This window comes from Homo sapiens, chromosome 17 (assembly GCF_000001405.40).
Source record: "Homo sapiens chromosome 17, GRCh38.p14 Primary Assembly".
In the NCBI taxonomy this organism is placed as follows: Eukaryota; Metazoa; Chordata; class Mammalia; order Primates; family Hominidae; genus Homo; species Homo sapiens.
The window spans coordinates 74,389,057-74,402,267 of NC_000017.11; the positions used below are offsets into that span (position 1 = coordinate 74,389,057).

General features: G+C 47.6%; 2 annotated features.

Annotated features, from left to right (window-relative positions):
• Window positions 5,087-5,587: an enhancer, noted in NCBI's record as "H3K4me1 hESC enhancer chr17:72390282-72390782 (GRCh37/hg19 assembly coordinates)". NCBI's record gives its function as "activates a minimal SCP1, AML or CMV promoter by ChIP-STARR-seq in naive H9 embryonic stem cells {active_cell/tissue: H9 hESC(naive)}" and the evidence as "EXISTENCE:reporter gene assay evidence [ECO:0000049][PMID:30033119]".
• Window positions 5,588-6,088: an enhancer, noted in NCBI's record as "H3K4me1 hESC enhancer chr17:72390783-72391283 (GRCh37/hg19 assembly coordinates)". NCBI's record gives its function as "activates a minimal SCP1, AML or CMV promoter by ChIP-STARR-seq in naive H9 embryonic stem cells {active_cell/tissue: H9 hESC(naive)}" and the evidence as "EXISTENCE:reporter gene assay evidence [ECO:0000049][PMID:30033119]".

Sequence of the window (13,211 nt, forward strand, 5' to 3'; positions counted from 1 at the left end):
TTGACTTTGCATGGGAGTTTCGAATTAAGTTGTTTGACTGCAAAGAGGAGGGCCCTTTTCAAATCTTCCAGGACCTGAAACTCGACAAGGAAGGGGAATGCCAAGGTTGAGTCTGAGATATCAGCTCATGAGCCAGAAGGAGAAGGGAGCTGCGCAAATGGTTGTTCTGCTCAGTGGGGCCCCAGGGCGAGGCCCTGCAGCTAAGAAAACGCTTTTGGTGGTTTTCGCTGCAGGTGCCTACATTCTTGTGTAACTGTAGGGGAGAGGGGCCTGGGTGAGGGGAGAGGAGGCTCCCGCTTGGCCTTGCTACAAATAATAGCATTGAAGGGAGCTAGAAGCACGTTAAGCAAAGCCCTGGAAACGCGTTAAGGGCAGACTCTCAAGGAATCTGGATGCCCACAGCCAGGCAAGAGGCCAGGTTGAGAGATGGTTGTGGGATGCCCCGTGAGCAGGGTCCTCCCCCTCCTCTTTGCCCTGCCCTACCCTGCCCAATATCAGGCTATCTGCGGGGGACAGGCCAGGAGCTGCCTCTCTGGGCTGGGCACCATCTGGGTGGCCAGGAGGTGAGCCCGGGAATGCCCAGGAAGAGCCAAGTCCTGAAGTCACTGTGCCCAGGCCTGCCCTTCCCTAAGAGGGGGTATGGGGGGAGTGGGGAGGCAAGCAGGTGGGAGATTGGAGAACTCCAAGGCTGTCTTCAGGGCATGAGACCAGAGTTTGAGGGTGGGGGAGTATCAGGGAGGCAGGTTGGGGCCATTAGTGGGTGAGATCCCTGGTAGTGGGACCAGGCAGGCTGTATTTATCCCGTCCTTCCTTCCTTCCTTCCTTCTTTCCTTCCTTTCTCTTTCTCTCTCTTTCTCTCCCCCTTCCTTACCTCCTTCCTTCCTTTCTCTCTTTCTTCCTTCCTTCTTTCCTTCCCTTCTTTTACTTTTTCCTTCCCTTCTTCTTTCTTTCCTTCTCTCTTCCTTCCTTCATTCCTTCCTTTCTTTCTTTCTTTCTTTCTCTCCTTCCTTCGTCTCTCTTCTCTTCTTATTTTCTTCCTCCTTCCCTTTTCTTTCTTTCTCTCTTCCTTTCCTTCTCTGTTCCTTCCTTCCTTCCTTCTTTCCTTCCTTTCTCTTTCTCTCCCTCTTCCTCTCCCCCTTCCTTACCTCCTTCCTTCCTCTCTCTTTCTTCCTTCCTTCTTTCCTTCCCTTCTTTTTCTTTTTCCTTCCCTTCTTCTTTCTCTTTCCTTCCCTTCTTTTTCTTTTTTTCTTTCTTTCTTTCCTCCTCTCTTCCTTCCTTAATTCCTTTCTTTCTTTGTTTCTTTCTTTCTCTCCTTCCTTCCTTTCTCTCTCTCCTCTCATTTTCTTCCTTCCTTCCTCTTTCTTTTTCTTTCTCTTCCTTTCCTTCTCTCTTCCTTCCTTCTTTCATTCCTTTCTTTCTTTCTCCCCTTCCTTTCTTCCTTCCTTCCTTTCTTCTCTCCTTATTTTCTTTGCTTTTTTTTTTTTGTTTTTTTTCTTTTTCTCCTTATTTTCTTCCCTCCTCTTTCTTTCTTTCTCTTCCTTTCTTTCTGTTTTTATTTTTATTTTTATTTTTTGAGCTAGGGTCTCACTTTGTCACCCAGGCTGGATGGAGCACAGTGACACGACCACAGCTCACTGCAGCCTCCACATCCCACCTCAGCCTCCTGAATAGCTGGGACTCCAGGCACACGCCCCCGCACCTGGCGAATTTTTAAATTTTGGTAGCAACTTGGGGTCTCACTATGTTGCCCAGGCTGGCCTCGAACTCTTGGGCTCCCAAAGTGCTGGGATTCCAGGTGAGAGACACCGCACTGGCCACCAGGCTGTATTTCTTTTGGGTTCAGAGTGCTCCGCACAGTCTTGAGCCCCCTCTTCAGGATGTACGGTCTCCATGGGGCTCTGAGGGTGTTTGATGAAATGTACAGGAAGCCATTGGCTTGGGCTGAGCTCCTGCACGAGGCCCAGCAGACCAAACCGAAATGGAATCATTCATGCTGAAGTTCTGCGTCACCCAGCTGACACTAAGTTGTTTATCTGACATTCTGAGACATCAGGAGAGTGAGGGATAATAGCCAGATCCCCAAACAGGCCAGTTTTAGCCAGCATGATAAGGAAGTCCCCTCTGCTTTAATCTTACAAGGAAAATAACTTTGAAATCTGATGTTTGTTCTGTTTCTGCTTTCAAAGCCAACCTCTACTGCTCAGCTCAATCCGAACACTCATTCTATAGTGTAAGGTGAGATATTGCCCAATTCTAGAATCCAAGTAAAAGCCAATTAAGATCTTTAAATTTGTTGTAATTTTGTCTTTTGACAAGAGAAAGGAGCTTTCAGGGGGAGGGGCCATTTCCTCTCTGTCTCTAGATCTCCTGTGTATATGGGAAGAGCTGGGACCAGGCCCAGCAATTACCTCACCATGGTTGGGTGCAACCAAGTGGGGCAACTCTTTGGCCAGAAAGCAAAAGTCTTTTTAGCTTCAATGTAGGCCATTCTGGGTCCCAGACCCACAGCTTTGGACATTATGGGAATCAGAATTCTTAGATGGCTTCACAATCTCTGTCCCTGGGTGTGTTACTCCCTTGATGATATTATATTATATGGCAGAAGGGATCTGCAGTGTAATTAACATTACCAATCAGTTGATCTCCAAGTAGGTCAGTTATCTGAGTGGGCTGGATCTAATCCCACGAGCTTATTAAAAGCAGAGAGTTTCTCCAATAGCAGAAGGGAAGTCAGAGAGATTCTAAGCACAAGAAGAATGGGATGCACGTTCACTGGCTTTAAAGATGCAGGAAGCATTACATGGAAAGGACTTGTGAACAGCCCCAAGGAGCTCAGAGAGACGCCCAGCCAACGGCCAGCAAGAAAACAGGAACCTCAGTCCTGCAACCACAAGGAAGTGGGTTCTGTCAACAACCTAAGTGAACCTGGAAGTCGATTCCTCCCTAGAGCCTCTGGATGAGAGCCCAGGCTGACCAACACCTTGATTTTGGCTTCCTGACATCCTAAGCAGAGATCCAGTGAAGCCTGCCCCAGATGGCTAACCTACAGAACCGTGAGCAAATAAATGGCTGCTAAATTTGTGGCAATTTGTTATGCAGAAATAATACCTAATACAGGTGCCTGCACAGTGAAGGTTCCAGGGCATGGATGTTGATCCCAGGGGAGGAGGCAAATGAGGCCTTCTGATTTCTCCCACAGCCTTGAAATTGCAGCCTCACCCTGCACTCTGGCTGTGCCCCTCCTCCACAGAGAACCGTCCACATCTTTGCTCGCACGGTTTCTGCCAGAGGCCCAAGCTTCTGTGCTCAGGCTGGGAAGTTTGGGCATGAACTATGTACAGATAAACCAATTGCAGGGGAATCGCACAGCTTCTTATTATCATTATCCAGGTTTCTTATTAGTTTTCTTCTCTGTTAATTTTCCCCTGTATTTCTGCCCAGTTCTGATGCTGTTGGATCTTCCAATCCTTGGCAAAAGGAAAATCCTTTTTAGCAAGTTACTCAGGCAGGACTCCCTAATTAAAGACCCAGAGTGGCCAGGCGCGGTGGCTCGTGCGTGTAATCCCAGCATTTTGGGATGCCAAGGCGGGTGGATAGCTTGAGCCTAGGAGTTTGAGACGAACCTGGGCAACATAGGGAGACCCTGTCTCTACAAAATATAAAAATAAATTAGCTGGTCCTGGTGGCATGCACCTGTAGTCCCAGCTCTTGGGAGGCTGAGGTGGAAGGGTGGCTTGAGCACAAGAAGTTGAGGCTACAGTGCACTATGATCATGCCACTGCACTCCCGCCTGGGTGACAGAGTGAGACCCTGTCTCAAAAACAGAAACTCAAAATGACTTGCTCTCTCTCCCGGTCTTGTGACCTAAATGGCTTGATTTAGGACGTGTGGCAGAGATGGTTAGCTGTCTACCAAAATCTGCACACCCCTTTCATAGCACAGTATTGTCACTAAGAGCAGAGACTACATTTCCCAGCTGCCTTTGCAACTGGGTGTGTCCACGTGACAAATTCCTACCAGTAGAATGTGAGCAGAAAAGCTGTGCAGCCCCTCTGAGCCAAGGCATCAGAAGCAGGTGTGCTTCCTCCATCACTTCCCTCCTCTTTGCCAGCTGGATATAGGTACCAACGAGACCCTGGGGAAGGGGAGAGCCCTGAGATGGAAGGAGCCTGGGTCCCTGAATCACCACGTGGAGGAAAGCCACTGACCAATCAGGAACGCTCGTCTTGGTCTGTTATGTGACTAAGAAATAAATTCCTAAGGTATTTGAGCTATTATACATTTGGGAGTCTATCTGTGACTGCTTTTTAGCTTACCCTTCATAATACACATCCCTCTTTGGCCCCCAGTGTAAATCAAGTTGCACAAGGTGCTGACTAAACTCCCAGGATGAAAACCTTCAAATATCCCTGTACCTCACTTTCCTCGGCTGGCTCCCATCCCTGTCTTGGTTCACACTGCTTGCTCCAAAGTCTGGCTGACTCAGCTGGCCTGGGCCATCATCCATCTGCTGTCAAAGAGTGCCTGGCTCACAGCAAAAAGAACATTTATTCCCCCAAAACATAGGGTTCTTTTTTTCAGCAAAGGTGGTGCAGCAATATATTTGGAGACGCAGACTGCGAGTCAGCACATGCTCCCGGTTCCCTTGGGACACAGTCAGGGAGCTCATGTCTTCAGCCCCAGCTCCCCCAGCAAGAGCCTCCAGTGGTCGGAGGAGAGGAGAGAAGAGCAGTGGAGAGGGGGAGGAAAGCAGAAAGAGGTGACAATTCTCTCAGAAAGCAATTAAGCATTTCGTGGTGGCCCCAGGGACAACCTCAACTTTTTGTGTTTTTCCCCCAGAGAGACTGAAGAACTGGGGGGAGGAGAGCATCCCTAGCTACAGTTATTGAAAACTCTGCTTGGTAATGTGGCATTGAGAGACTCTGAGAAGCTGGCTTCAGGAAGGTGGCCCCACACTGCCTGCCCACCACCTGGGATGCCACCTGCCGCAACGGTGTTGGTCTCTGGTCAGGGCTGGGGTAAAGATCAGCAGTGGCTCATCTTCCCTCTGACACAGCAGCATGGGACACCTGGATGGAACTGAAATGGGGTCCCAGATACAGCAAACCTCTCTCCCTGTCCACTTCTGAAGTCCAGCTCGGGATTGCCGGCCCCAGCAGAGCAGGCAGGGGAGCTTTGACTGTGGATGGTGTTTGAGCCTAGACTAGGCCCCAGGGTCTTCAATGAAGCTCACAGATGGAAAAGCCCAGCAACCAGGGGTCAGAGGCCCTGGAAGTTAGAAAATTACAAGTCCCCATCCTTCAAGGAGCTCCAGGATGACTCTGCCTCAGCAATTTCCAGTGCAAATTTACTTTTTGTTTGAGTCAGGAAATAACAGGCTGCAGACTCCCTAGGGGCCCAGGAATCCAGCCACCAGCTTCTCCTGGCTTCTCTCATCCTTCCGTGAGCAAGACTCAGCCAGACGTACAGGGTGGCCCCGAGCTTAAATTACAACCACCTGACCAGAGCTGCCCCGCAGATGCCCAGACCCTGCTTAGAGAGGGTCCCTGTGGAGAGAGGGGCTTCCCCAGGCCTCTGGCTGGTCGCATGCGTGGCCTGAATTCTCCATGCACAGGCAAGAGGCTGTCTCTACTTCCCACCCTAGGCAACTCTTAGCACTAACCCTGAAGTGACGATGAGCCACGGAGCCAGGGTGGAAGCTACACAGTGCGTCTCACGTGACTTCCAGTGAGAGCTGTTCCCAAGTTTACCATCCCTCGGCGGTGGCTCACCACCCTCTCTGCCCAAAGTCCTCTCAATAGCCTAAGTCTCTTCCCTCCACTCAGCCTCATTGCTCTCATTTTGTCACTTAGAGCTTAGTGACATTTTGCTTTCTTCCAAATCCTCCTTCTTGCAGTCTAGCTGGGTCCTTTCATGCCTAGTTTACAAAGATGTCTGGCCTGATCCCTATCTGCCAGCCCCTATCCCTCCCAGGGGGACCAGGAAGCCTGGGTTTGACAGGTGCAATGCACAGGTGCCGGGCGCCCACTGGGAGTGCAGGAGGCCAAGGTCTTCCCAGGACTGGCAGCTCAGATGGCCCAGGCAGAAATAACCTGAGCCTGCTGCCCTTTCCTTCTTGGGAGTGACTCAGCGAGAAGCCGGAAGATAGAAACACAAATCTGGTCCTGGATCTTGCAGAGCCAGTCACAGGCAAGGCCACAGCCTTAAGGCTGTGTACGGAGAGGACCTGGAGCCAGCCATAGGGCTGGACGCTGAAAAGACGCTCAACCTCATTTAGCAGGAGACAAGTGCAAATGAAAACTATACCCAGACCCCATTTTCCACAGAGCAGATTGGCAGAGATGCAAGCTTTCAGGACACACTCACTTGGCAAGAAGGGGAGGCCATTCTCCCGCTTTGCTAGCAGGCTGTAAAATGATACAATCTCCTCGGAAGGCAAGTTGGCAATATCTATCCACTAAGTGCACAAATTCTTTGACCCAGCGATTCTACCTGTACAAACGGAACACCTAGCTATGCGTGCACATTTATGACATGACCCAGGCAGCATTGTTTGTAATAATGACAAAGGATTGGAGGCTCCTACATAGGTGACTGGTTCCACACTTGCGGTGTCCCCATGCGATGGATCACAGTAGGCAGAACAGATAATTGGAACCATTGATGGACGAGTATGGAACCGTGTCCTAGATACATTGGAAAGAGGAAAAACAAAACAAAAGAAATTGAGGAGCAGAACGGGCTGTGGGGCTGGCTGGTTTCAATTCTCGATGAATGGATGAAATGGCACACTCCCATTTGGGTAAAGGAGGGTAACAGAGAAGCAATGTCTATGCTGGTCTAATGTGTGTGCTAAGGAATATCTCCGGATGGATACCCCAGATTGGTTTCATTAGCTATACAGAGGCAAGCATATACCTTTTTGTAACTTGAGCATTTTAAAATATGTTAGCTGGGCCGGGTGGCACGTGCCTGTAGTCCCAGCTACTTGGAAGGCTGAGGCAGAAGAATCACTCGAAGCCTGGAATTCAAGGCTACAGTGAGCCATGATGGGGTCTATGAATAGCCACTGCATTCCAGCCTAGGCAACACAGTGAGACCCTCATCTCTAAAAACAATAAAAATTCAAAAAATTTTTTTGAACTAGGCAAACATGTTACTTATTTTAAAAAAATAAACAGTTTAAAAGGTGAGGCCAGGCATGGTGGCACACGCTTGTAATCCCAGCACTTTGGGAGGCCGAGGCAAGCAGATCATGAGGTCAAGAGATCGAGACCATCCTGGCCAACATGGTGAAACCCCGTATCTACTAAAAATACAAAAATTAGCTGGGCATGGTGGCACTTGTCTGTAGTCCCAGCTACTTGGGAGGCTGAGGCAGGAGAATCGCTTGAACCCGGGAGGCGGAGGTTGCAGTGAGCCGAGATCGCGCCACCGCACTCCAGCCTGGCAACAGGGTGAGGCTCTGTCTCAAAAAAAAAAAAAAAAAATGGTGAACCCCTGGCTCGGTAATGGAATAAAATGACACCAGTACTTGAGAGGCAAGCAAGTTCCAGGATAGAACGAGGTGGTGGAGGGAAGCGATCATTCCATTTTACATTCATATTTTGCAAACAGTTTCTCCTTTTCTGTTGCTGCTTTCAATCCAGAGGCAGTCCTTTCTTTTCAGATGAAGAAATGGAGGCTCAGAGAGGGGAGGTGACTTTGTGGAAGTCACACAGCAAGTGGCTGAGCCAAGACTCACAACCAGGTATTTTTGTTTTGTTTTGTTTTGTTTTGTTTTTTGAGATGGAGTTTTGCTCCTGTTGCCCAGGCTGGAGTGCAGTGGCACGATCTCAGCTAACTGCAACCCCCACCTCCCTGGATTCAAGCGATTCTCCTGCCTCAGTCTCCTGAATAGCTAGGATTACAGGCACCCGTCACCACATCTGGCTAATTTTTGTAGTTTTAGTAGCGATGGGGTTTCACCATGTTGGCCAGGCTGATCTCGAACTCCTGACCTCAGGTGACCCACCTGCCTCGGCCTCCCAAAGTGCTGGGATTCCAGGCATGACCACCACACCCAGCCTTGTTTTGTTTTGTTTATGAGACAGGGTTTTCCTTTGTCACCCAGGCTAGAGTGCAGTGGTGCAATCTCAGCTCACTGCAACCTCTGCCGCCAGGGTTCAAGCAATCCTCCTGCCTCAGCCTCCCTAGTAGCTGGGACTACAGGTATGCACCACCACACCCGGCTGATTTTTGTATTTTTAATAGAGACAGGGTTTCACCATGTTGGCCAGGCTAGTCTCGAACTCCTGACCTCAGGTGATCCTTCAGCCTCAGCCTCCCAAAGTGCTGGAATTATAGGCATGAGCCACCAGGCCCGGCTGCATCCAGGTTTTCGGGCTCCCCATCACATGGTTTTTTCTACCTCACTCTATAGCAGACAAGACCTGGGGTCTTGGGTCACTGCTATCCCCATTTCCACCTAGAACATGATCTAGACCACAGTACATATGGGCTCAGGAACCAGCTGTCAGAGAATGGCGTCAGATTCTAGCTCAGCTACATCCTACCTGAGTGACTTTTAGGGGAGTTACTTTTTGGACTGTGCTGTGGTCTGTTTGTGCCCCACCTAAATTCATATGTTGAAACTTACTCTCCAATGTGATGGTATTAAGAGGTGGGGCATTTGGGAGGTGATTAGTGCTCTTATAAAAGAGGCTGGAGTGCTGGGTGCGGTGGCTCATGCCTGTAATCCCAGCACTTTGGGAGGCTGTGACGGGTAGATCACCTGAGATTGGGAGTTGGAGACCAGCCTGACCAACATGGAGAAACCCCGTCTCTACTAAAAATACAAAATTAGCCGGGCATGGTGGTGCATGCTGTAATCCCAACTACTCAGGAGGCTGAGGCGGGAGAATCGCTTGAACTCAGGAGGTGGAGGTTGCAGTGAGCCAAGATCGTGCCATTGCACTCCAGCCTGGACAACAAGATGAAATACTGTTTCAAAAAAAAAAAAAAAAAAAAAAAAAGAGGCTGGAGGGAGCTTGTTCACTTTTGCCCTGTGAAGACACAGCAAGAAGGTGCTATCTTTGAAGCAGAGAGTGAGGCCAGGTGCGGTGGCTTATAGCGGTAATCCCAACACTGTGGGAGGCTAAGAGGAGAGGATCACTTGAGCCCAGGAGTTTGAGACCAGCCTAGGCAACATGACAAAACCCTGCCTCTACAAAAAATCCCAAAATTAGCCAGATGTGGTGGCACATGCCTCTATTAGGGAGGCTAGGTTGGAGAATTGCTTGAGCCCCAGGAGGTTGAGGCGGTAGTGAGCCGTGATCACACCACTGCACTCCAGCCTGGGGGACAGAGCGAGACCCTGTCTCAAAAAAAAAAAAAATTTTTTTTTCCTTTTTCTTAATTCACCTCCCCTTCCTTATTTCTATTTACTTTTAAATATTAATATATAGTAAAACTGGCCAGGCACAGTGGTTCACACCTGTAATGCCAGCACTTTGGGAGGCCAAGGAGGGCAGATCATTTGAGGTCAGGAGTTCAAGACCAGCCTGGGCAACATGGTAAAACCCTGTCTCTACTAAAAATACAGAAATTAGCCTAGATGTGATGGTGGGTGCCTGTAATCCCAGCTACTCAGGAGGCTGAGGCAGAAGAATCACTTGAACCTGAGAGATGGAGGTTGCAGTGGGCCAAGATCGCACCACTGCACTCCAGCCTGGGCCCTGGGTGGCAGACAGAGTGAGACACTGTCTCAGAAAATAAAAATATATAAATATAAATAAATAAATAAAATTAATATATAGTAAAGTTGATTTTTGTTGTTGTTGTTGTTTCGATTTGCATAATCACCTTCACAATCAGGATACAGCTAGTTCCATCGCCCCAAGAAACCTCCTCAAGAGTCCCCTTCAGGGAGCCACATTCTTTCCCCACCCCAGCCTCTGCCTAGAAATGGCTAACATGTTCTCTGTAATTTTGTCTTCTTGAGAACGTCATAGAAATGGACTTTTACGTGATATAACCTTTTGACTGGCTCTTTTCTTTAGAATAATGCCTTTGAGGTTCATCGCAGGTGTTGTGTATATCAATAGTTCATTTCGTTTAATTATGGGGATACCATAGTTTGTTTATCCATTCATTCATTGAAGGACATTTGGGTTGTTTCCAGTTTTTGGTGATTATGAATAGAGCTGCTATAGATATTTGTGCAGAGGTTTTTGTGTGAACAAAAGTTTTCATTTCTCTAGGCAGTAATTCTCAACTGGAGGCAATTTCGCCTCCCATGGGACATTTGGCAATGGCTCTGACATTTATGATTGTCAAGGCGAAGTGCTGCTGGTATCTAGTTGGCAGAGGTCACGGATGCTGCTAAACAACCTATAATACATAGGACAGTCCCTACAACAAGGAATGATCTGGCCCAAAATATCAATAGCACTGAGGCTGAGAAACCCTGGTCTTGGGAATACACAGAACTGAAGTTGTTGGTCATGTGGTATGATATGGTTTGGCTGTGTCTCCCCACCCAAATCTCATCTTGAATTGTAGTTCCCATAATCCCCATGTGTCATGGGAGGGACCTGGTGGGAAGTAATTGAATCATGGAGGCAGTTAGCCCCATGCTGCTGTTCTCATGATAGTGAGCGTGTTCTTACGAGATCTGATTGTTTTATAAGGGGCTTTCCCCTCCTTCGCTCTGCACTTCTCCTTGCTGCTGCCATGTGAAGAAGGATATGTTTGTTTCCCCTTCCGCCATGATTGTAAGTTTCCTGAGGCCTCCCGAGCCATGCAGAACTGTGAGTCAATTAAACCTCTTTCCTTTATAAATTACGCAGCCTCTGGTATGTCTTTATTAGCAGCATGAGAGCAGACTAATGCATGATACGTGTATGTTCCACTCTATAAAAAAATTGCCAAACTGTTTTCCAGAGTGACTTTACCATTTTGCATTTCCACCAACAATGTTGAAGGTTCTAGGTGCTTTACATCTTTGGCAGTGTTTGACATTGTCTATCTTTTTAATTTTATCCATTATACTAGACATGTGGTGGTATCTCATTATGCCTTTAATTTGCATTTCCTTAACGGCTAGTCATGTTAAATATCATTTCATGAGCTTATTTGCCATCTGTGTATCCTCTTTGGTAAAGTGTCTATTCAAATCTTTTGCCCCTTTTAAAGTTGGATTTCTTTATTTCTTACTGTTGAATTTTAAGGGTTCTTTATATATTATGGATGCAAGTTTCTTTGTGGAATATGTGATTTGCATCTTCTCTCATTCTATTGTTTGTTTTTCCATTCTCTTAGCAGTGTCTTTCACACAGCAAAAATTTTTAATTTTGGTGAAGTTCAATGCCTTACTCCATTTTGTGCTGTTATAGATACTACAGACTGCCTGGGCATGGTGGCTCACGCCTCTAATCCCAGCACTTTGGGAGGCCAAGGCAGGCAGATCACTTGAGGTCAGGAGTTTAAGACCGGCCTGGCCAACATGGTGAAACCCCGTCTCTACTAAAAATACAAAAATTAGCCAGGCACAGTGGTGGGTGCCTGTAATTCCAGCTACTCGGGAGGCTGAGGCAGGAGAATTGCTTGAACCTGTGAGGCAGAGGTTGCAGTGAGCTGAGATGGCACCACTGCACTCTAGCCTGGGCAACAGAGCAAGACTCTGTCTCAAAATAATAATAATAAAAGTTAACATTTGAGGAAGGTGTGAGATTTAGGTTGAGGTGCCCCCCCCCACTTTTTAAAATACGGATGTCAATCATTGCAACCATGTGTTGCAAAGATTGTTCTCCTTCATTAAATTACGTCTTTGTCAAAACTGATGGAATTGACGTCTTTGTCAAAAATCAGTTGGGCTTATTTGTGTTTGGTCTATTTCTGTGTTCTCTAGTCTCTCTCATTGACTGCTGGCCTCTACCCATTTGCCAATACCACATTGTCTTGATGACTGCCACTTCACCATAAGTCTTCAAGCAGAGTAGTGTGATTGTAAGTCCTGTTGCTTTATTATCCTTCTTTATCAAAATTGTTTGGTTTTTCCAATTCTTTTGCCCTTCCGTAGACATTTTAGAATCATCTATCTATATCTACAACCTTTCCTTCTTCTTCTTTTTTTTTTTTTTTTGGGACAGTGTCTTGCTGTATCGCCCAGGCTGGAGTGCAGTGGTATGATCTCGGCTCACTGCAAGCTTCACCCCCTGGGTTCACGCCATTCTCCTGCCTCAGCCTCCCAAGTAGCTGGGACTACAGGCACCTGCCACCACGCCCAGCTAATTTTTTGTATTTTTAGTAGAGACGGGGTTTCACCGTGTTAGCCAAGATGGTCTCGATCTCCTGACCTCATGATCCGCCCATCTCGGCCTCCAAAAGTGCTGGGATTACAGGCGTGAGCCACCCGTCCAGCCAACCTTTCCTTCTTTTTAACTTATTTTTACGAGGCATAGGCTTATGATGACCCCATTTTACTCTTTGTTCTAAGTAGGATTTTGACACTCAGAGTTCTAGGTAGAACCTTTGGGTAGGTTCCAAGGAAGGGAGAAATGCTGCTTTTATAGAAAACTCAAAAAAAAAAAAACAGCCATTCACCTGCTTCTTGGGAGAACAGATTGCCTTTTGCCTAAGGAACATGAAGTGTGCAGATTTGCTTTCTTTTCTCACTGTGGAGCTGGTCTGTGCATTTTGTTCTCCACTAGTTTGCAAGGCCAAGTTATATTCACTTTTTTTGACAGCAAAATGGTAAGAACACTTCTGACTCGTCTTGGAAGATATTATTTATCCTTCTGAAACATGTTTTTCATCAGGTCAAATAACTTGCCTGAAACTGCTCATACAATTTCTTCTAAAAGTGGAGCAAGAGTTCATCTTGTCTTGTTCTGGGATTGTCAGATCTGAACACATTGCCCTCCAATTCTCTGGTTTCTAGAACAGACGAGGCTGCCACTCAACACCAAAACTAAGAGAAGGATTGAAGTGAGTGGGAATCACTAAAAGAGTCCTACTGGCCTTCTTCCTGGGACTGGGGAGCCAGCTGTCCTTTGCCCCTCCACTCCCAGCTCCCCGGTCCTGGACCTGGGAAGACTCCCCTGCTCCGGCCCTCCCTGCATCCCTGAGAGGCCTGGAGAGCAGAGGCCTCTAGAGCTGGTCGCTGTCTTGTTTACTACCTGAAACCAGGCCTCTGAGTTTTCTGCTTGTGCAACAAGACGATCTGCTTG